Raw genomic sequence first — 21,168 nt, 5'->3', positions numbered from 1 at the left:
CTCTGGATGTTCTTTCTTATGATTCTATTTACAGAAATCTGTAAGCTGCAATTAAAGTTGGTTTTGGTGGAAGGTAATTTCTATCCAACCTGAAAGAATTAAGGATCTCAAGGATAAGTCCTGGGACTGCATTATTACTCACTCTCTCCCTTGGTGACCTCATATGTTCTCATGACCTTCAACATCAACTATAATCTATATGCCAATAAGTTCCAAATCATCACCATTTTCTGGAGTCTCTCATGAACCCAAGATGCATATATGCAACTGCTATTGACATCCCCTTAGATGTCAAATAGGAATCTCAGATTTAACACATCCAACATGGAACACTTGATTTCCTCTGCGAAACTTGGTCCTTCCCCACACCAACCCAAAAACTGGTAGTCATCCTTGATTCCTATCTTTCTCTCATTACCTGTATCCAATCATTCACTGAATCCTGGTCAGTTTTACCTAAAAAATACATCTCAAGTCCATTTCTTACCATCTCCATTGATTTCACCAAGTTCTAAGCCACAAACATCCTCTTACCTGGACCACTGCAATAGCCTTTAACAGGTTTCCTTGCCTTACTTTTATGGCACTTCAACCCAGTTTTTACACAGAAGGAATAATTATCTTGATTTAACTTGTTGATTTTGAAGATTTGTACACATACACTTGGACAGCGAGTAGCATGAATTCCCACATACCTATCACTGAGCTATAGTAGTTATCAATTCATCATTACAGTTTGTTTCATCAATAACCCTGTCTTCCCACCTCCTCTAGTACTTTGACATGAATCCCAGACATCATGTCATTTTACCCCTAAATATTTTAATATATCTCTAAAATACAGGATTCTTTTTCTTTAAATGTAACCACAAGACCATTAACACATCTAAAAATATTAATAATTTCTTAACATCATGAAATATCCAAAAAGTATATTTCTGAATACTGTATAATATGTAATTTTCACAATTCATAATTTTTTATAGTTACTTTGTTTGAATCAGGATCTCAACAAAGTCCACATATTGCCATTGGTCGATATGTCTTTGAGTCTCTTTTAATATGCAGAGTTTTTCTTTTGGTGGTTTCTCATTTGCTTACTTCCCTTTTTCCCTTTGCATTTTATTTGATGAAGAAACCACATTGTTTTGTCTAGTAGAGTTATATAGGGTTTTTTTTGTGGTTAATGTAACATTTCTTCATGTAAAAACTGCTAAGGTGGCTCTGTAGGTGGTAATGTTTTCTTCCATCAGAAATCATGTGTCTGGCTCTATGTCCTTTTGTAATGTTCGTAGCCATTATGCTAATACTTAAATCTATTAATTCATTAAGGGTTGCAAAACAGGGATATTTTGTCAATTCTTAATTTATTAGCAGCGATACTTGTATGAGGGAGGAACTGTCCTTGGTTTTTACTTTTTAGGTTACCTAGTGGTAAAGCTTGTGAAGACATAGATTTACCTTTTAAAAATGTAAACTGGATCATGTCTTTGCCCTGCAGAAAGTCTTCCTGTGGCATCTTCATGCACACAGTGAAATGTGTAGTCTATACATATTCTGCACGATTTGGCTCTGACATGATCTTTTTCATCATGTTCCATCACTGCTAGTAAACTATTATAATGAGCTTAAATTTCAATTAAATAAAAACTTGAAGTTTATTAAAATGTATTAAAAAGGTGAAGCCCTGTTTCCCTAGGCTTTTTGCCCTTACTGTTCCCTCTGCCTGTCCACCCTTCCCTCACTTTTTGCCTAGTTGGCTCCTTCTTTACCTACATGCTGAAATGTCATCTCTGCATAGAGGCCTTGTCTGACCTGTTCACTTAAGGGGCCTACTCTCCCCTATCATAGCTCCTGTTTAATTCCTTTATAGCATCCAACACAAACTACAACTATCTTTTTTTCTTTTCTTTGAGATGGAATTTCACTCTTGTTGCCCTATAACTATCTTTTTTTTTTTCTTTTGTTTGAGATGGAGTTTTGCTCTTGTTGCCCAGGCTGGGGTGCAATGGCGTGATCTCGGCTCGCCGCAACCTCTGCCTCCTGTGTTCAAGCGATTCTCCTCCCTCAGCCTCCCAAGTAGCTGGGATTACAGGCATGCACCACCACACCTGGCTAATTTTGTATTTTTAGTAGAGATGGGGTTTCTCCATGTTGGTCAGGCTGGTCTTGAACTCCCGACCTCGGGTGACCCACCCGCCTTGGCCTCCCAAAGTGCTGGGATTACAGGCGTGAGCCACCATGCCCGGCCTGTAACTATCTCTTTAAAGGTACTTATTAATCATTTCCCATCAAGAGTGCTAGCTCTGTGAAAGCAGGGATCTTTTCCATCCCATACACCACTGAATCCCAGGGCACATGCAGGACAATATCTAGCACACAGTGGGTGCTTTACTTTTTCTGAATGAACACCACAAACTCGCCGACCCTACATATCCTCATCTATATGAATGGGATGCAGGGATGAGCTAGGTAACTACAGAATTCCTTGCAGGTTGTCCATGTTTTTCTCTGAGGATATAGAGATGAGGATACAGATCATTCATTGCAATGCTTCCTGAGTTCTTCATGTTGTAGTTCCTTGAGCAAATGATGTCCGTTATGGGGCAGGCCATTGAGGCTGGTGAGAGGCTCCCAAACCAGGACCTGAGAGAGGAGCTGGTCCGGTAATTGATCAGAAGGCCACAGGAGTTTGGATAGGGAGAGCATTTCTGGAGTCACAGCGGTGGGAGAGTGGGGTGAGCTTATAGATTTAGGGCAGGAAATTCTTTGGAGTATGTACTTTGAGGGCTCCCTAATTTTTATGATCCTCAAGGACTCAAAGGACTGAGACTTCCTGAGTCTCCATAGGGTTCTGAAATCCCCCTATGCCCTCAAAATTCACTTTCTTCAGGAAATCCCACCAATTTAAGAATTATTTCAAAGCATTCTCCTTTTACAATGTAAACACTCTGGGCGTGGTTGAGAAGATTATTCACGTGTGTGTGAATTAGTTTAACCAGACTGCTTTCAACCTAAAATCTGAGGTATCAGCGTTTTGTTTAGCTTGAGAGAGTCAATGGAGAAGGGGACAATTTTAGAGTTTGGGTACTCTTGTGGGCTGGAGGACAGGCTTCCTCAGCACAGTGGACTGCTGGGGTAGGCAAGGATCGCTGGGGCACCCCAGGGGTAGAGACAGTGGACCAGGCCAACTAATTCCAAGGTTTTCAGTTTCCCTAGTGCTAGAGGTTCAGGGTTTTTTCTCAAGATTGCTTCAATTAACCTGATGTTTATCACCAGTAGAGGGTACAGACCAGACCCAGAATAGAGTTTCTGCCATGTAGAGATTCACTGAAGTCGGCAGCCATACACAGAGAGGCCAGACTGCTCTAACAGCAGAAAGGTGATGCCAGTGTGCCCACAGCATGGTGTTGGTGCACAGCCTCATCCAGTCATGCCCAGGGCAGCTTCCACTTACCTAGAAATGTTCCCAAGACTGCTGCTGCCTCTTCTCATCCCAGGGACCAGATGAGAAGAGACTGGGCTTTAGAGAAGACAAGGCCTCAGGAAGGAGAGGAACCCAAGCACCAGGCTATTGCCTGATTGCAAAGCAGGTTTTCCTCCTTCTCCCAGACCTGCTCCCTCATCTTGATAAATTCCCCTGCCACCTCCTGCCCACACCTCTCCATAGGAGCTTAATCCCTGCTGAAGCAGGAGGACTTGGAGAAGCTTTCTTGGAGAGATCATGTTAAGGCAGCCACAGTATAACAGGATTTGTAGTCATGTAGAGTTATACACTTGGTAAACGCTGGCAAGCTCTAATTGTGAAACCTTTTACTTATAGCCTGAAACCTACTTGGGGCTTTATTCTTTGGTGTGTTGAGAAGACATGACGAGTTGGTCCATATGTTTCTAACGTTCTTATAATATTGACCCAGTTGCATTCTTGTTCAAAGCAGTATCTTAGCTTTCTTGATAGCAGAGATCCAAGACAATGAGGTGAAAAAAAATCGTAAGACATTTAAATTACCACCAACAAAAATCATTTCATGGAATTTTACATTATAAGAAAACCAGTCTAGACTCCCTCAATGCAAGAAGCCCTACTCTTTTTTTTTTTTTTTTTTTTTTTTTTTTTTTTTTTTTTTTTTTTTTTTTTTTTTGAGACGGAGTCTCACTCTGTTGCCCAGGCTGGAGTGCAGTAGCGTGATCTCGGCTCGGTTCACTGCAACCTCCGCCTCCCAGGTTCAAGCGATTCTCCTGCCTCAGCCTCCTGAGTATCTGGGATTATAGGTGTGTGCCACCACGCCCAGCTAATTTTTGTATTTTTAGTAGAGACGGGGGTTTCACCATGTTGGTCAGGCTGCTCTCGAACTGGTGACCTCGTGATCCGCCTGTGTTGGCCTCCCAAAGAGCTGGGATTACAGGTGTGAGCCACTGCATCCGGCCTGGAAGCCCTACTCTTTACATGCAATGGGGTTCAGCATGTCCCACCTATACTTGAACAATTTCAGGAGTGGGGATCACAACTGCTTATTCCCTTGCATTGACAGGCATTTCTCTGTCTAACTTTCCTTGAGTCAGAATCTGATTACAAATTATCATTAGTCTTCGTTTCCCCTTCACAATTACAAAGAGGAAGTTAGTTTACTCGTCAAATAAGTATTAGTTATTATATCTCTGAATTCTTGTCTTCCCTACTGTGTACACTCTCTCGTTCTCTTGTTTCTGTTCTCCTAGGAAGAAGTATCAGCATCCCCTCCTATCCAAGCCTACTCCAAAGCTAATCTCATAGTTTTTGTCCTTGACACCTGCTCCCCTTTTCTCCCTTTTTAGGAACTTTGCTCCATCTCCTGGTTTCCCTTAGCTCCAGCTTACAAATACACCCATTCTACTCTCTATTCAACATTGCTTATCTACTCCAAAAGATAGTCTCATCTCCCATTTTCCTGTCACCATCAAATTTATGGAAAGAATTGTGCATGGTCACTACCCCCAGTTTCTCCTCACTCCCTATGGTAATTTATCTGCCTTCTTTCTCCTCAGCTTTATAGGAATCTATCTTTGAAGGACAGTAATGTCTTTGAAATGACCTTATCAGTCAGTAGGCTTCTCTACCCTCTGTAGCATATAATATTGATGCTGCTCCTCCTTCTGCCTTGGCATCTTCCTTAGACTCCCAGATGCAGAGGTCTCCTGGTTATCTTCCCATTTCCCTAATTGACCTTCTGTATCATTTCCTCTTTTATTCTTTGGCCTCCATAAAAACAAAACAAAACAGCCTTCCTTAAGGTAGTATCCTTAGACCACTTTTCTTTTCACTGTCCTCTCTTCCTAGGCAAATTTACCTGATTTCACGGTTTTATTTATTATTCTAACAGAGATAACCTCGAACCTCCATCTCCAGCTCAACCCTGACTTATCTCCATAATTCCATTTCAAGCTCCTGCTGAACATCTCCATTTGAATATCCTGATGCCACCTCAAACTCATGATACCACAAACCTAATTTCCTCCCAAAGCTATTTATTCTCTGGAATTCCTAATTTTGTTGAGGACATTACCTTAACCCCAATCAGCCAAGTTCTAGATCTACAAGTTGTTTTTAAGCTCTCCTGTTTTCTCCACAATTTCCATCTACTTTCTTTCTGCCTGTCCCCTCCTATTTCCATTGTCCCTTCTTTTTTTTTTTTTTTTTTTTTTTTTGAGACAGAGTCACTCTGTCACCCAGGGTGGAGTGCAGTGGCACGATCTTGACGCACTGCAACATCTGCCTCCTGGTTCAAGTGGTTCTCGTGCCTCAGCCTCCTGAGTAGCTGGGACTACAGCTGGGACTACATGGTGCACACCACCATGCCTGGCTAAGTTTAGTATTATTATTATTTTTTTTTGAGATGGTGTCTCACTCTGTTGCCCAGGCTGGAGTGTGGTGGTGCGGTCTCGGCTTACTGCAACCTCCATCTCCCAGGTTCAAGCGATTCTCCTTCTCAGCCTCCCGAGTAGCTGGGATTACAGGCACCTGCCACCACGCCCAGCTAATTTTTTCTATTTTTATTAGAGACAGGGTATCACCATGTTGGCCAGCCTGGTCTCAAACTCTTGACCTCATGATCCTAGTAGAGACAGGGTTTTACCATGTTGGCTAGGCTGGACCTTGAATTCCTGACCTCAAGTGATCTGCCCGCCTCAGCCTCCCAAATGCTGGGATTACAGGCATGAGCCACCATGCCAGCCGTCCCTTCTTAATTCAGGCCCTTTTAACCTCTTGCTGAACTGTCTTGATAGTACAATCGGCATGTTCATTTCCCACTTTCAACCTACTACATCTGCTGCTGCCAGATTGTGGTGGAGTTGAATCTTATGTGAAGTATAAGTATTGAAGTATTCAAGTCATTGTTTATGAAGAAAATCTCATACAATCAACATTACCCTTGAAAATGCCTTATATTGTCTATAAAGTAGAATCTACAGACACTGCTTCTCAGTAAGTTCAACACTGCTAGTTTTTCCTCTACTTTTGGAACAGATTACTTTTCTTTTGGTTGAACACCAGATGAAGTCATCTGCTTGGTTTTAGGGGTAGAGTCGTATGAAAAATATGTATCTTTAAACACCAGAATCACATTCAACACTAGCCTATTTGAGTTCATATTAGTTACTCATGAGTGTGATTTAAATCTACTGGAATATCTAAAAGCACAGCTCTGATCTCCATTATTTCTATGCTAAAAAACCTTTAGTGGCTCTCCATTGCCTATTGAGAAGGCCCATTTTTTTAACATGGCACTTAAAACTGTTCACTGTCTGACACCAACCCCCCTTTCTCACCCAGCTTATGCTCCAGAATGGAATGCCTGTGATCCCCATGCCCGCTCTGCACATTCCAGTCTCCATCCATACTTTCTCTCACAGTGGCCTGGAACGCTTTCCCCTTACTTCCCATCTCTGCTGGGCTCAGCCATTCTTCACAGGTCAACTCACATGCTGCCTCTTCTAAGATTCCTTCACAGAATCTTCTCTCCAGACCCTGTCCAGCCAAAATCGTATTTCCCTCCTCTGAACTGCAGTCGCTCCTCATTTGTACTGTGTTTATGGCAAGTATCATTTTCTATCTAGAATTGTCATTTCTGTTCATGTTTTACAAGTCTATAAACACCTTCAGGGCAGGGGCAGTGCTTGAATCTTCTTCATAGTTATGTATATACCACCATTTCCAGCTTCAAACATGCAGTTTTCAACAGATTTCAATGAAAAGATAAATTAAATAATGTAGCTTCCCATCTCCTCCCCATGCAGAATGTGCTCTAGTTTGGCAGTGCCCAAGGACTTGGGACCCAGTGCTCTAGAAAGAGCAGCAAACTCTTCCTAATCCCAGCAGCACCTCCATCAGGCAATGAATGAACTCAACAAGAAGGGGGATGGGTAAAACGTTATATGCAAATAGTTGCACTCTGCCCCTTCTTAAAGAGCAAAATAAACATGATTTTTTAAAAAGACCATGGAAGTTGACAATACAATGGCTTTTTCACAGAAGGCTTCAGGATATGCCAAGTTCTGTTATTGGGGATGGAGACATTTTGTCCCCATTGTGTAGAAAGAGACTGATGAGGTCTCTTAAGCAATCTCGCAGACCTACTGTTTTGAAGCATCAGAACATTTTTCTGTGCATCTCAAATTCATTGGAACTTTAAGTTTGTGGAGAGAAAAATCCTAGTTCCCCTCTTCCCCCATCTCATCTCTCTCCCAATAGACACAGGATGTTTTACCTCGGGAACTCAAAGTTGAAGGGGAGCTCAGATCCCAGGGGTGTACTGGGTATAACAGCCCCTTGAATCTTTTCTGAATCATACTCCACACTCCATAAATACAACTCTACCTCCGCTCAATTAAGGAAGGTCTGGGGGTTGGGGAGCCTATCTGACATCTTTCAAGGGATGGGGGTTGAGGAGCCTATCTGACATCTTTCAAGGGATGGGGGTTGGGGAGCCTATCGACATCTTTCAAGGGATGGGGCCTCTATCTTCATTATGGACATGCAGAAAATGTACTCTGCCCCAGTGACAGACAGAGGGAGTTTGACATTGAATTTACACCCGTAGCGTTGACTTTAGACTGATTAGGGAAAATGACTGCCCTGCACCCTTGTAAAATCTTAATGTTCCGTGAGAAGTGCACCGTGCTGTCTGATGTACAGTGTTTAGGTTTGTCTTGACCTTATTAAATCATGGAAAGCGGCTCCTATGAGGGAAGTTTTTTTTCTTTTTCTTTTCTTTTTTTTTTTTTAATTTCCTGCACGATTATTCAGGTGGCTTTTCCTGTTTCTACTCCCCCTCCTGGACTCGGGTCCTTAATTACTATTGCAGAGAACTGGAAGGATGCCTGCTCTGCTCTCCCAGCACGGTCTCCTCTGCTCGGCCTCCAGGCTACTCGCCCCCACCCTTTTCTCCCTCTAGCCCCGCCTCCTCCGCGCACCCCGTGGCCAGCAGCTAGACAGCTGTGTTCAATCAGAAACCACTTACAACTCCAGACGATTCGAAGGGGAAACTTCGGCGTGAAGTGCAGCTCCGCTCCGGCTCCCTCTAGCTTTCTTTCCTTCTCTGGAATCCGAGGCGCGGATCTTCCTCGCCCCACCGCCCTAGTTTTTTCGGGAGCTCGCCGGTGCCCTCTAGGGTGTCGGCTCGTGCTGGGAAGTGCCCTCCATCCTGGTAATGGGGGGCGGCGAGGCACCGTAGGAGTGGCGAGGCGGCGCCCAGGGTGGCACTGCCCCGGAACGGGGCGCTGGGTGCGCGCGGGAGGGTCCCCGCGCGGGCTCCGCCGCTGCCGCAGCTGCGAGCGCGCCGCGCCACCGAGCCTCCTGCAGCAATGGCTCGTCCGTGAAACGCGAGCCACGGCTGCTCTTTTTAAGAGTGCCTGCATCCTCCGTTTGCGCTTCGCAACTGTCCTGGGTGAAAATGGCTGTCTAGACTAAAATGTGGCAGAAGGGACCAAGCAGTGGATATTGAGCCTGTGAAGTCCAACTCTTAAGCTCCGAGACCTGGGGGACTGAGAGCCCAGCTCTGAAAAGTGCATCATGAATTCCGGAGTTGCCATGAAATATGGAAACGACTCCTCGGCCGAGCTGAGTGAGGTAAGAAACAGCTGAGGTCGGGAGCTAGGGTTTCTCGGGCGTTTGCTTTTCCACAAATCCCCCTCCCCTCGACCTCCCCACAGCCCTACACCCTATCCCCCTGTGCTCCCAGTCTGGAGGCAGCGCAATTGAAGATTAGTAGATTTTCTGGATCTTGTTTTAACTTGTAGTGCTACTCAGGAAATGACCTGAACTGGCTTGATATTTCAGTCTGAAATGAGTGGCTTAAAAAAGAAACAACCTCTCACCAAGCCGCGAGGCGTTTTACTCACGACAGTCTGCATCCCTTGTTCCTTCCCACCCGCTTCCACTAATTTATATACACCCTTTTATTTCCCTGATCGGTAAAATACACGGACATTCCCGATGAGTTTAAGCCGACGGTAACTAATTTGGTGGGGGTGGTGGTGGTGAGGGGGACGCATTGGATTATTTCATCTCCCACTTGGCTCCCACGTGCGATGCGTTTGGCTACGTTCAGGCAAGGTGGTCTCTTCCCTAGGCTGAGATGAATGACCCGCGCTGGGGAGGGGTCTGGGGAGAAAGCACTTCAAAGCCGCTTTAGAACTTTATTTCCTGCCCGGATCTGGACTCCTGAGTCTTTGAGGCAAGCGCATTTGCAATTCCTGGGCTCCCACTGTAACCTATCCACTTGAGTGTTTGAGACCAGCTTTGAAATTAAAGCTACATCAAACACTATGCAAATGTGTGAGCGGTAAGATGCCCAAAGCCATCTTTTTTCATGATTTTAGGGATGCTTCGGGCACATCCCTCAAAGCTTTGAATACCTGAAAAGTGATGAGAAGCCCGTAGAACTGGGTGCTGAAAAGAAGAGGAAGTCTGTGTGCTTAGTGTCTACAGCTAGAGGCTTGGTGTCTGTGGGTTTCCCTCTTGGTTCCATCACTGAGCCATTTATGGGGGCAAAAGTAGCATAAGTAGTCCGTGTTTCTTGAGTATGGCTGAAGAGAGGAAAGAGGAAGAAAAGGAAAACAGTGTAAAAGCAGCCGGAAGGCAGATAATGGTGATGTCAGACTACCAATGGTGAAGGGAAAAATGCAGGGATGGAGCCCCTGCGGGGGTGTGTGTGTGTGAGGGAACACCTGGTGATGGGAAAGAGGGGGGATTAAATGGGGTTGGGGGAAACCTAGGAGGTCTGCCGTCGGGCTGGTGAATGCTATTGGGCCCTGCCTGGTGCTCTTAAGTGTCATGCTGCTGCTGTGCTGTTCCTGCTCCGGTTTGAAATAGCATTTTGAGGTGCTGGCTGAATGAAGTAGAGCATTTGCTAATCCTTAACGGCTGTTGCCCCTGTGATGTAGAAGACTCAAGAAATGCTGAGAGTGAGAACTTAAAAATGGGAGGTGAGGGAGGAGGCATGAGGATTTAAGTGACTTTTGCCAATTTTATAATTAACGGTCTCAAATCTGAACTAGAACCCAGGGCCCTGCTCCATCACTAACCCTGTTTCAGGAGAAGCCTTTGGTGATCTTCTAAGGTCATTGAAAACCCCAAAACTGAAGGCATTTCTTTTGCAGAGACTCTTTGCCAGGCCCTTCACGATGTTTCTATGCAGCAGAGTGCTGTCCAGTAACCTTTGTTTAAATGAATCGCAGACTTAGGAGAAGGGGGGGCTAGAACCCTGAGTGAAGGAAGAGATGTGAATTGACTTTAGTCCTATTGGCACGTCCTTGAGCACATTGGGTGAGCAGAGAATGTGACACTCAGGTGCCACATAAAATTACCCATTTTTTTTGCCTAGTTGTATCCACTCCCTAAGTAATCCCTATAAAGCTTGTAGGCAAATGAAAGAGTTGAGAGTGCTTTGTAGTCCCTGCATTGGCTGGAAAACTATTTGAGCAGTATATGACATAATATTGTTCCTAAGGAAATAAGTTCCTTCCTCAGCTATATCCTTTACCAGATGTTCTTTTCTTCTCATCGGTGTCTGCTCATTCATTTTTTGCTTGCTTTCGAGCCAGTTTTAGGTACCATGATTTAGTTGTACCTCTTTCCAATCAATGTTAGTTATCCTGCAGGTTGAATGGTAGTTATTTTTACTTTCTGCACTAATTTTTTAAATTTTTATTTATTTATTTTTTGGAGACAGAGTCTCACTCTGTCACCCATGCTGGAGTGCAGTGGTGCAATCTCGGCTCACTGCAACCTCTGCCTCCCGGGTTCAAGCGATTCTCTTACCTCAGTCTCCCGAGTAGCTGGAATTACAGGCATGTGCCACTACGCCCAGCTAATTTTTTTATATTTTTAGTAGAGAAGAGGTTTCGCTATGTTGGCCAGGCTGGTCTCAAACTCCTGGCCTAAAGAGATCCGCCTGCCTCGGCTTGTACATATTTTAAATTAGAATATGTGTAAAGATAATTTGTAAGGCAAGAGAGTGTGTGGTTCATACCTTGTGGACCCTAAATCTCAGTTCAATTTAACATGGGCAATAACTTTAGTATTTACCATTTTTCTAATATCCACAGAGCAGTATCCATAGATTCAAATACAATTCGTTTGTATTCCTCACATTAGATCTTTGGTGTTTCTATTCCCTGTCATTTTTCTCTTAAACACTAGTTTTCGCTTAATATCTTGTAGGGCAAAGTTGCCATTCACTTTTGATGGTTGAGTCCTCCTCCTCACCTGGAAGCAGAGCTAATAAAACCCCTCAGGGCCCCTTTAGTGCCATCTCTCTGATTGCCCAGGAGCCTCAATGCTGTCTAGAGGTCACTGTGGGGTCAGTTTCAGCCTGATGTTTAGTAGGCATTTCAGGGGTAGGAAGAACTCTGAAAATACCTGCCATTATCCTGGGTATCATAAACAAAATGGCTCTCATTGGTGTTGACTTGCGGGCTTACTCCTTCTGTAAGGGTCCCCTAGCCACAGAAGTCATTGACTCTTTGACAGTAATGTTGACACTGACTCTGTAACATCCTGAACTAGAGAGTGAGTTTAATCAATTTCTGGTTGTCATCTGCTGATCCTGTTAGTGACAGCAGCAAGCTTTGGTCAACCACTGAGGTGTTGGCCTCTGCACCTAGTACTCCAGGAATGCTTGGATACTAGGGAGATAGGAGGGATTTGTGTGCGAGGGATACACAATTAGGAGACCTAGGGATGGGTGTTGGGCATGAGGTGTTTTGCATGTGTACTTCAAAATGGAAAACAGGAAATTCATGAGTGTGTTCCTTTTGTATCTTTAGTTTGAACAATAGCCATTTAAGATCCTGAGTTGATTACAGCAGATAGTAAAATTGCCTCTATGAACATTCAAACATATTTTTATGTATTTATTGACCATAAATGGCTTATGTCAAGTCTGAACGCTTTTTTGAAAGCAAAGGAATTCATAGCAGTAACAACAGAAATACAAAAGGAAAATGTAGACGGATAAACTAGTGATTTGTTCTTTTTTCTTGGCTATAGCTGTTCCTGTCATAAAGATTTGAAGGGATTTTTTTTTAAAATTGAGATTAAGGAAGGACTTCAACATCAGGCAAATCAAAAGCATTGCAAAAACTAAATGTTTGAATTCAACCTCTCTCCCCCATGATCAAGAAGCCGAATGGCCACACTTTAAGCAGCATTAAATTCTCCCGAAATCTTCCAAGGGACAGCTCTGGCATATTCTTCGTGGTCGTGACTTTTAGATCAGCAGTTAGCTCTATTGGTCTTGGTTAAATTTGTGGGGCCAGTATGTAGTTTAATCTTGTTAAATAATCCCAGGTATCTGGAAGGAAGATATCTTAAGGTTTAACAATATTAGGGTAAAACTTGACTTTACTTATTCTTGCAGAGTAGTTGTCTGCTTGATCTGGTTGTCTGGTAGACAGTTGCCTATTTATGTACAAAAATAAAAATTTATTTTTAAAAAATTTCTCCCATGGCAATCATAACCTCTGGAGATGAAAAAATATTCTTACTCAAAGAATTTGTACAAAGCAATCAACTTAAACTCTTTGCCTTTTAAACATTATTTAAACAATGGACAGACAAAATTCTGCATCACTATTTACTTGGAAACATTGGATGCCCCTGGAAATCATATTTCCCTTACTTTCTTCTTAGATCTTCATTCAAATCATTTTGTATCAGATCATTCCACTTCTGAATTAGGCCATAGAGGCAACTCTCCATGCTTTCACCATTTGCGTGTTGAGTAACTCCTGAAATGCCACCTCTTCGTTGATGCTCTAATTAAGAAGGAGAATTGTATAGAAGAAAGTTGTTCTCTACCTAGATTATCTTGTGTGACTATCTCCAAGTGGCCAGCTCGCAGCTGTGCTGTTCATCATCAAATTAATTATAAAATATCAGCATTGGAAGGGGCCTGAAAGATCACCTAGTATTCACACACCCTTTTTTGCCTCTTTATAGTCCTCTGCCTTTAGAAAATCACACTTCATTGTAATGAGCTGTTGAATGTCTGTCTTAGCCATAGCATTAGCATAAGCGTAAGAAGAGCAGGGTCAAGACCTGGTGCAGAATCCAACAAACTGCTCCAAAATTTAGAGGTTGAAAATAACCATCTTATTTACTCATGGATTTGCAGTTTGGGCAGAGTTCAGGGGGAAGACTTGTGTCAGTGACTAGAGCAAGAGGATCTACTTCCAAGATGGCTTAATCATATGAATGGCAAACTAATGTTGCCTGTGAATTGGGAGATCAGCTCAATTCTCTTCAACATGGGCATCCCTATGTGGCTTGGGCTTCCTCTCAGCATGGCAGCTGGGTTCCGAGAAAGAGGAGGTAAAGGTGCCTGTTCTCTTAAAATATGGAAGTGAAACGGGCACAGGATCATTTCTGTGTGTTCTGTTGGTCAAAACAGCTGTTTTCCCAGCCTAGATTAAGGTTAAAGAAGTAAGTAGAAAACACCTCTCCAAGAGGGGTGTCACAAAGAATTTGCAACCAATTTAAACCCACTCCAGAAGCCACAAAATGACAGAGCCTTGTCCAAAACTCTGACTTCTTTCTTTTTTCTTTTCATTTTTTTTTTTTTTTTTGAGATGGAGCCTCTCTGTGTTACCCAGGCTAGAGTGCAGTGGCGCAATCTCGGCTCACTGCAACCTGCCTCCCGGGATCAAGCAATTCTCCTGCCTCAGCCTCCTGAGTAGCTGGGATTACAGGCACGTGCCACCACTCCCGGCTAATTTTTGTATTTTTAGTAGAGACAGAGTTTCACCGTGTTGGTCAGGCTGGTCTTGAGCTCCTGACCTTGTGATCCATCTACCTCAGCCTCCCAAAGTGTTGGGATTGTAGGCGTGAACCACCGCACCTACCTTAAAACCCTGACTTCTTAATTCCCAATGCCTGGCAATGGTTTTTAGTTTTTTGTTTTGTTTTGCTTTATAGCTGTTCATTTTGTGGTTTGTAATAACTCTGAATCACATTTTCTAAGCACTTCCCAGATATTGACATGCTTGTCTAAAACTCTGAGGTGCCTTCTGTTATTCCCATGTTACAGGTTTAGAAATTATGGCATAAGAAGGGGGAAAAGCATATCGAAACTACACAGACTGTAAAAGGTGGAGTCAAGATTTGTGCCCAGGTAGCCTTTCTCCAGAGCACACTCAGAGGAATCCATGTGTACATTAATTCCTTTCATTAGCTTCTGTTACTGCCCTCAGCTTTTGATCACATGTTCCAAGGAGGGAGTATTCTATTTTAATAAGCCTGTTTAACTTGATTTGTATTGTAATCCCTATGCAATACCCAGATATTTTGATAAAAATGAAATGATATGATTAGAGTAAAGGGATATAGTCACTGCCATAGCCTCCAAGTGGTGGAGGAATTCAAAGCATTGACTTTCCAGAGCCCTAAAAGCAGATTCGTCGATAAGGAATAGTTGTGATCCTCATTCAGTGGGGGTTGGGAGAGAGACTTCTATTTTTTTTCACTGCAAGGAAGGTGGAATATTACAACCTGTGACCCACTACCTGTGTATTCAGAGACATCTCAGAGATTGATGTTACAATACTTGAGGTGCCAGAAAGAGAAGAATAAAGCTTTAAATATCTTAAGAATTAGGGCTTTCCCAGCCCTGCAGGCAGGGCTTTAAGTTCCTTCTACAGTTGGCCAAATCACTGTGGGGCTGCAGAGTGCCGAGGCTTGGGGAGAAAGCCAAAGGGGCCCAGTGAAGTTAGTGGCCACGGCTGCATGGCAAGGCAGCGGCTGACAGCCAGGTCTTGCAGAAGCACATGCTGAACATGACATTGAGGTCCTGAGTCAAATGCAGTGGATCAGGTGCAGTAGATCAAGCCACAGAGATGGTTCGTTTGGCTGGAACCAGGTGGAAGACAAGAAAAAGGAGAACATGTGATATGAACAGAGAAGTTACTCAAAGACCAGGTAGGTGATCAGAACTGGGATGGCCACAGACCTGGAAGCAGGGAGAGAAGCTTGATTCTGAGGAAGTGCTTTGACCAATTGGGAAGCTTTTAAGTCCCAAGACTTCTTATCTTAAGGAAGCACCTTAGAGGTAGTTGCTACCAATTGGAGATGCCAGAACCCTGAGTGTGAGTGGGCACACTTATCTAGAGTAGGGAATGTCATGGTGATACTCAGGAAATAAAGTCAAGTGTGCAGTTGTAATAGCTGCCTAGCTGATTTACCCAATGCAAGTCATGAGGAAGGCTTTCTCCCAGGTGGGGCTGCAATTGGAAGATCAAACCTGCATTTATAGCAAAATTAAGAAGCTGTTGATGGGCTGGGCGTGGTGGCTCATGCCTGTAATCCCAGCACTTTGGGAGGCTGAGACAGGTGGATCATGAGGTCGAGAGTTCAAGACCAGCCTGGCCAAGATGGTGAAACTCTGTCTCTACTAAAAATACAAAAGTTAGCCGGGCATGGTGGCGGGCACTTGTAATCCCAGCTACTCGGGAGGCTGAGCAGAGAATCGCTTGAACCCAGGAGGTGGAGGTTGCAGTGAGCCAAGATCGCACCACAGCACTCCAGCCTGGGCGACAGAGCGAGACTCTGTCTCAAAAAAAAGAAGTTGTTGATGAAGATTTCAAAGTTAGTTTTTGATCCAGGGAATCAAATTACAGAAAATGAAAATTATATTTTAAGCCATCTCTAGATTCTGAGAGGAGGGGTTTGTGTTGGCAAGGTTATAAAATCAGACAAGCCAAAGAAGACAACAAGAATTGATAGATATTAGTTAGGACTTGGATTATTTACATTGGTGAGAGGATGTCATAGCAGAGATAAATTGTATGTAATTATTTTTTTGAACCCTCTTTCCTCCCCCATATATCTGCCCGGATTCCCAACAGTGATATCTTTCACTCTTGGGGGTGAAAAAAAGAAAAAAGCAAGTAATGTGGATTACACAGATAAACAGAAGTTCAATTTATAGAGTAAATATTTACTGGAACTACAGAGATACCCTGTCTTTCTAGCCAATGTCCTTTTTCTCTTGTTGACTAGAAACAGCCAAAATTGGTACAGAGAGGAAAGAGGAAACCTTTTCAAGGGTTTTCATTGCCACAGGAGTGAATAAGGTTGTAAAGCACTTTGCATGTATGAATCTTTCAAGATATTTCTTAAATTCAGCAAAGACCTTAAACCTTGAGAAAGTCTTTTAGGGAAAAAAATTCTGTAGTTAGCAGCTATTAATTCCAATTGCCATACCAAAAACCATATGTTGAGTTTGTTAACTTTGTAAATAAGCAATAAAAAAGCCCATTGAACTGGGAAATTTGTGTGGTGAAGGCTGCCTGATGTTTTGGTTGGTGGAATATTTTGAGCAGATCCCTTGTCATGAGATTTGATCAGTGCCTGGAACGCGCATAGGACTTATGGGGCCAGAGGTGGAAATGCATCTTAAACCAAAATCTATGGTGTGTGATTATTTGAGAACAGAAAGTTTCATGAAACCTCAATGTGTGTGCGCATGTCAGTTAACTTCAGCTGGGGTTGTGAGAAATACTGAAGCAGTTGTCAAAGGAAGAATGCCAACTAGGGAAAAGATGGCCTTGCAGTTAGAAAAGGAATGGAGGCCTCTGACTGGTTATGTGGTGAGAGTGGGAGTAATTCCTTGTTCCTGTTTTCCTGTGGGTTGTGTGAACTTGTCCATAGAACACACAGCACTCTTAGAGTCTTCTTGCTCTTCTCCCAGCGGCCCCCGGTGTCTCCAGGTTAGTTGTTCCTTCCCTTATCTGTGTTCAGAATACTTACAAGTTGGCCTCCTTGGGGAGACCATGAGGTCTTTGAAGGCAGAGACAGAGTAAAGTTGATCACTATATTGCCAGCACCTAGTCAATATGTGGTAGATAGGATATCAACAGTCTTTGAAGTTGTTGTTTGGACCAAATCCCAGTTGCCATTTTACTGTGACAGATGTGTTGGATTAACTCCTTTTCTATTTTGGTGAAAGTACCCATTCGATGGAATTTAGTTTGGTCATTTTGACTGTAATTTATTATCTTGTAACCGTTCACATATTCAGTCAACAAATATTGTGTGCCTTCTACATGTCAGATGCTATTGTAAGACTGGGGATACAGCAACAAACAAAACTGATGTAGTCCCTGTTCTATGCATCCTACACAGATACATAGACAGTACACAAATGTTCAGTGGTGATATGTGCTGTAAAGGAAAAACTCTCAGGGAATGAAATGGGGAGGGATGCTGTTTGAGTGATCAGGGAAGACTTCACTGTGGGAGTCTGTGAAATGAGGGACACAGTCATGTGAAGATGGGGGACAATCATTTCAGGCAGAAAGGAAGAGTGAGGGCCAAGGTGCAGAGCCCAGGGCACTCTTGCTATGCTTCAGGAGTGGCAAGGCAGCAATGACTGGGAGCAGAGTGAGCAGGGGGAGAGTGGAAGGAGATGAGGTCCAAGAAAACAGTTCTGGCCAGATCACCTAGGGCTTCATAAGCCCTGGAAGAGTATCTGGATCTCCCTGGAGAGTTTCCAACGCAGGCCTGAATTTGTTTTACTTTCTTATTCTTTTCATATTTTGTGGGGGTGGGGGGCGGGGTAGGCAGGGGGAGATGTAGGGAAGAGGAGGAATTAGCAAAGAAAAGGCCTGGAAAGTTGTGTTCTGAAAGCCAGTTAAAGAAGGTATTTTCAGAAGAGGGCAGAGTGATCCATCGTCAGATGCCTCTCCTTTGGCTTCCCGCCTTTGAAGCCTGTGTATATTCCCAAACTTTCAAACTGTATCATTTTCTGTAGTCAAAAGTAATTATTATGTACCATAAAAATACACTGTAATTATTTTTTTGACATCTTCAGTGTATGTGAATTCATTTTCCCCTAAAAAGGAATGGTTTAAAAAAATGAGTGGCATGGACACTGGCCAAGAATGATTTGAAAATTGCTTTCCCTTGATTGATGGTTCAGTATTGATGGATGCTGATGTTGTATAATATAGGTGGGTTTTGAATTAGAAAAATTGAAAACTGCCTTCCACTGTCACATGGACCCATTTCCTTCAACTATTTAGAATCAGACTTTATTTTTATGAACTTTAATATCAATTTATTGATTTATAACAAATATAACTGCAAGGAGACTGGAATGCTGACACTTATTTCCTATTGAAAAACTACTTGGCAGTCAGATTATGACCAGAAAATTGCCTGGCAAACATGGAATCAGACAAAGGAAGTGCTTCTATTGGGTGGTGCTATTAAGCATATATTTGACTTAAGCGATATCTTGTCCTAACCATTTGCATGACTGATAAAGAAACTGAGGCCTGAAGAAGGCTTGCTAGTGGCAAAAGGGGAAATGTAGTACTGAGATTTTATTTTTCTAATTCCCAGGGATATTTTTTTCTCTTCTGCCTCAACTTCCTCTATTTCTATATTACAGGATATTTACATTAAGGTATGTGTTTTGGAATATTCTGTAATTATTTTAAAAGGAGAAAGTTTAATTCTTCAGTAAATCATATCTAGATACAACATTATTACAGATCACACTATCAAAATACAGTTGACCCTTAAACCATGCTGGCATAGAAACACCAACCTGCCACCCCTGCAGTAGAATTCCATTTTGCAGGCTGGAGTACAGTAATGCAGTCTGCAGCCTCTACCCACTGGGCTCAAGTGATCGTCCCACCTCAGCCTCCCAAGTAGCTGGGACTAGAGGCACATGCCAAGACATCCGGCTACTTTTTGTATTTTCTGTAGAGATGGGATTTTGCCAGTCACCCAGGCTGTGCATAACTTTAGACTCCTCAAAAACATAATTGCTGATAGCCTACTGTTGACCAGAAGACTTACTGATAACATAAGTCAATTAACACATTTTATATGATACATGTATTATATACCATAGTCCGAAAGTAAGCTGGAGGAAAGAAAATGTTATTAAGAAAATCATAAGGAAGAGAAAATATATTGATTATTCATGCAGTGGATCATCATAAAGGTCTTCATCTTCATCGTCTTCATGTAGAGTAGGCTGAGGAGGAGGAAGAGGGAGGTTTGGTTTTGCTGTCCCAGGTGGCAGAAGCTAAGTTTACACATGTAAGTGGATCAAACATTAGCAGTTCAAACCAGTGTTGTTCAATGATCAACTGTAATTAGTAATAAGAATTTATTTTTAGCTTTAACTGTGGTTTTAGGGTGTGTTGTAATTGCTCTCAACAGGCTTTTATTGACAAAGATTGTTGGAGCCTAGCAGGGACAATACGCCTTTCTTTTTGCGGGGGGAATAATGAGATGAGCTTACTCTTTGGCTGGTTTGCTAGCTGCTGTATGTTGACAGGGAGTGATTGGTCAAGCCTCTCCTTTCTTTAAAATTTCTCAGCATCCTTGATAACACTTGTTCTTTTCCGTTTCTTTTTAAAAATTTTTATATTTTTGATTGTAGCTATCCTAATGGCTGTGAAGTGGTATCTCATTGTGGGTTTGATTTGCATTTCCCTAATGGTTAGTGATGTTGAGCATCTCTTCACGTGTTTATTGGCCATTTATACATTTTCTTTGGAAAAATATCTGTTCAAGTCCTTAACCTATTTTTAAATCTGGTTTGGCTTTTGTTGATGTTGAGTTACAGAGTTTCTTTGCATATTCTGGATTATCAATCCCTTAGTCCTCTTCTCCTTTGTCCATTTTTTATTTTCTCCATATTGGGGCTTTGCACAGTACTCACGCCTTGGTATTTCCAGTAGGAGTGAAAGTGAGTATAAAATACAGCCCAAGAGTGAATAGCCTCTCCACAGAAAATAAATGGGCTCTGCCCAAGCCCAGGAAGGCTCCTCCAGAGTGCCCAAGAATAAGAAGCATTCTGATGCTTTGTCGGGCCGGGCTACTTTTCACAGGCCGACACCCAGCAACTCTACTTGTGGCCTGACTAGCAATGTCAGGCAGGCACAGAGTTAAGAATTATGTCTGTGACATTTGAAGAGTAACAGTTTTCCACCAACATGTGATTTCACAGTCTTCAAAGAGGAGTTTTAGGAGAGGGCTTTAGCAAGAGGGGCTTGTGGAAAGCAGCCAGGAAGTCACAGGCTGGTCTGTTAGATTAGGTAACTCTGTTACTTTATTTCTTGGTGATGTGACTCTAATCGTGATTAAACCAAAATCTAATTTATTTTCATGCTTGATTGGGAGCACTTTTGATGAAGTATTTGAATAAGAGTAAGCGCCATATGGGACTACTGTAGGAAATGTAGTGGTTCAGAGGCTGTTGGGCCTGGGCTGATTATTAACAGGGTGTTAAGATTGAGGAGAGGGAAAAATGAGTGCATTGGACTCCAGGACAGGAAGAGTTTTTATTTCCAGCTTAGAATAGGTAGATTTAAAATCAAATTTGGTATCCTCTCTCTGTCTCTGTCTCTCTTTTGGCATAATCTGATGGAAGCAGGGAGCAGAAGTCAGTATGCCTTTTGGTAGGATTGACAGAGCGACTTCCAAAACTGTTTCTCATTTTGGGCATCTGAACTGCTTATGAAAATGCTGTCTGGACACACATGTAATTACTGCTGAAGAAAGTGTCTGATGCTGATAAAGCTGCCTTCAAACCCTTTAATTCCCTGAGTGTCAAAGATGGAGCGTCTTCTTTATTTGGCATTAAAACATCCCCAGCTAGCAGTGATGAC

The 21,168-nt window shown here is 42.8% G+C and overlaps 1 protein-coding gene and 1 long non-coding RNA gene across 3 annotated transcripts in view, besides 1 other annotated feature; one reads left to right on the top strand and one right to left on the bottom strand.

The window, feature by feature from the left end:
• LOC124901045 (uncharacterized) overlaps positions 1-8,575 on the bottom strand; it is a 44,906-nt gene extending 36,331 nt beyond the window's left edge. The window contains exon 1 of the long non-coding RNA XR_007058904.1: positions 8,499-8,575. This is a non-coding gene — a long non-coding RNA (uncharacterized LOC124901045). The remainder of the gene's footprint in view (positions 1-8,498) is intronic.
• MCC (MCC regulator of Wnt signaling pathway) overlaps positions 1-21,168 on the top strand; it is a 466,348-nt gene that overhangs the window by 185,019 nt on the left and 260,161 nt on the right. The window contains exon 1 of one of the 2 annotated variants that reach the window (NM_002387.3): positions 8,497-9,106. The exons of the other annotated variant lie outside the window; for it this stretch is intronic. Coding sequence (NP_002378.2) covers positions 9,050-9,106 — 57 coding nt within the window. The 5' untranslated portion in view covers positions 8,497-9,049. Of the gene's footprint in view, positions 1-8,496; positions 9,107-21,168 lie in introns of those variants that run through there. 2 annotated transcript variants of the gene reach the window in all.
• Positions 8,739-8,798: a silencer, noted in NCBI's record as "silent region_16242". NCBI's record gives its function as "represses an Ori minimal core promoter by ATAC-STARR-seq in GM12878 lymphoblastoid cells {active_cell/tissue: GM12878}" and the evidence as "EXISTENCE:reporter gene assay evidence [ECO:0000049][PMID:35858748]".

This window comes from Homo sapiens, chromosome 5 (genome assembly GCF_000001405.40).
Source record: "Homo sapiens chromosome 5, GRCh38.p14 Primary Assembly".
Lineage (NCBI taxonomy): Eukaryota > Metazoa > Chordata > Mammalia > Primates > Hominidae > Homo > Homo sapiens.
The sequence above is the reverse complement of the archived record's forward strand: the minus strand, read 5'-3'. Positions and strand labels throughout refer to the sequence as shown.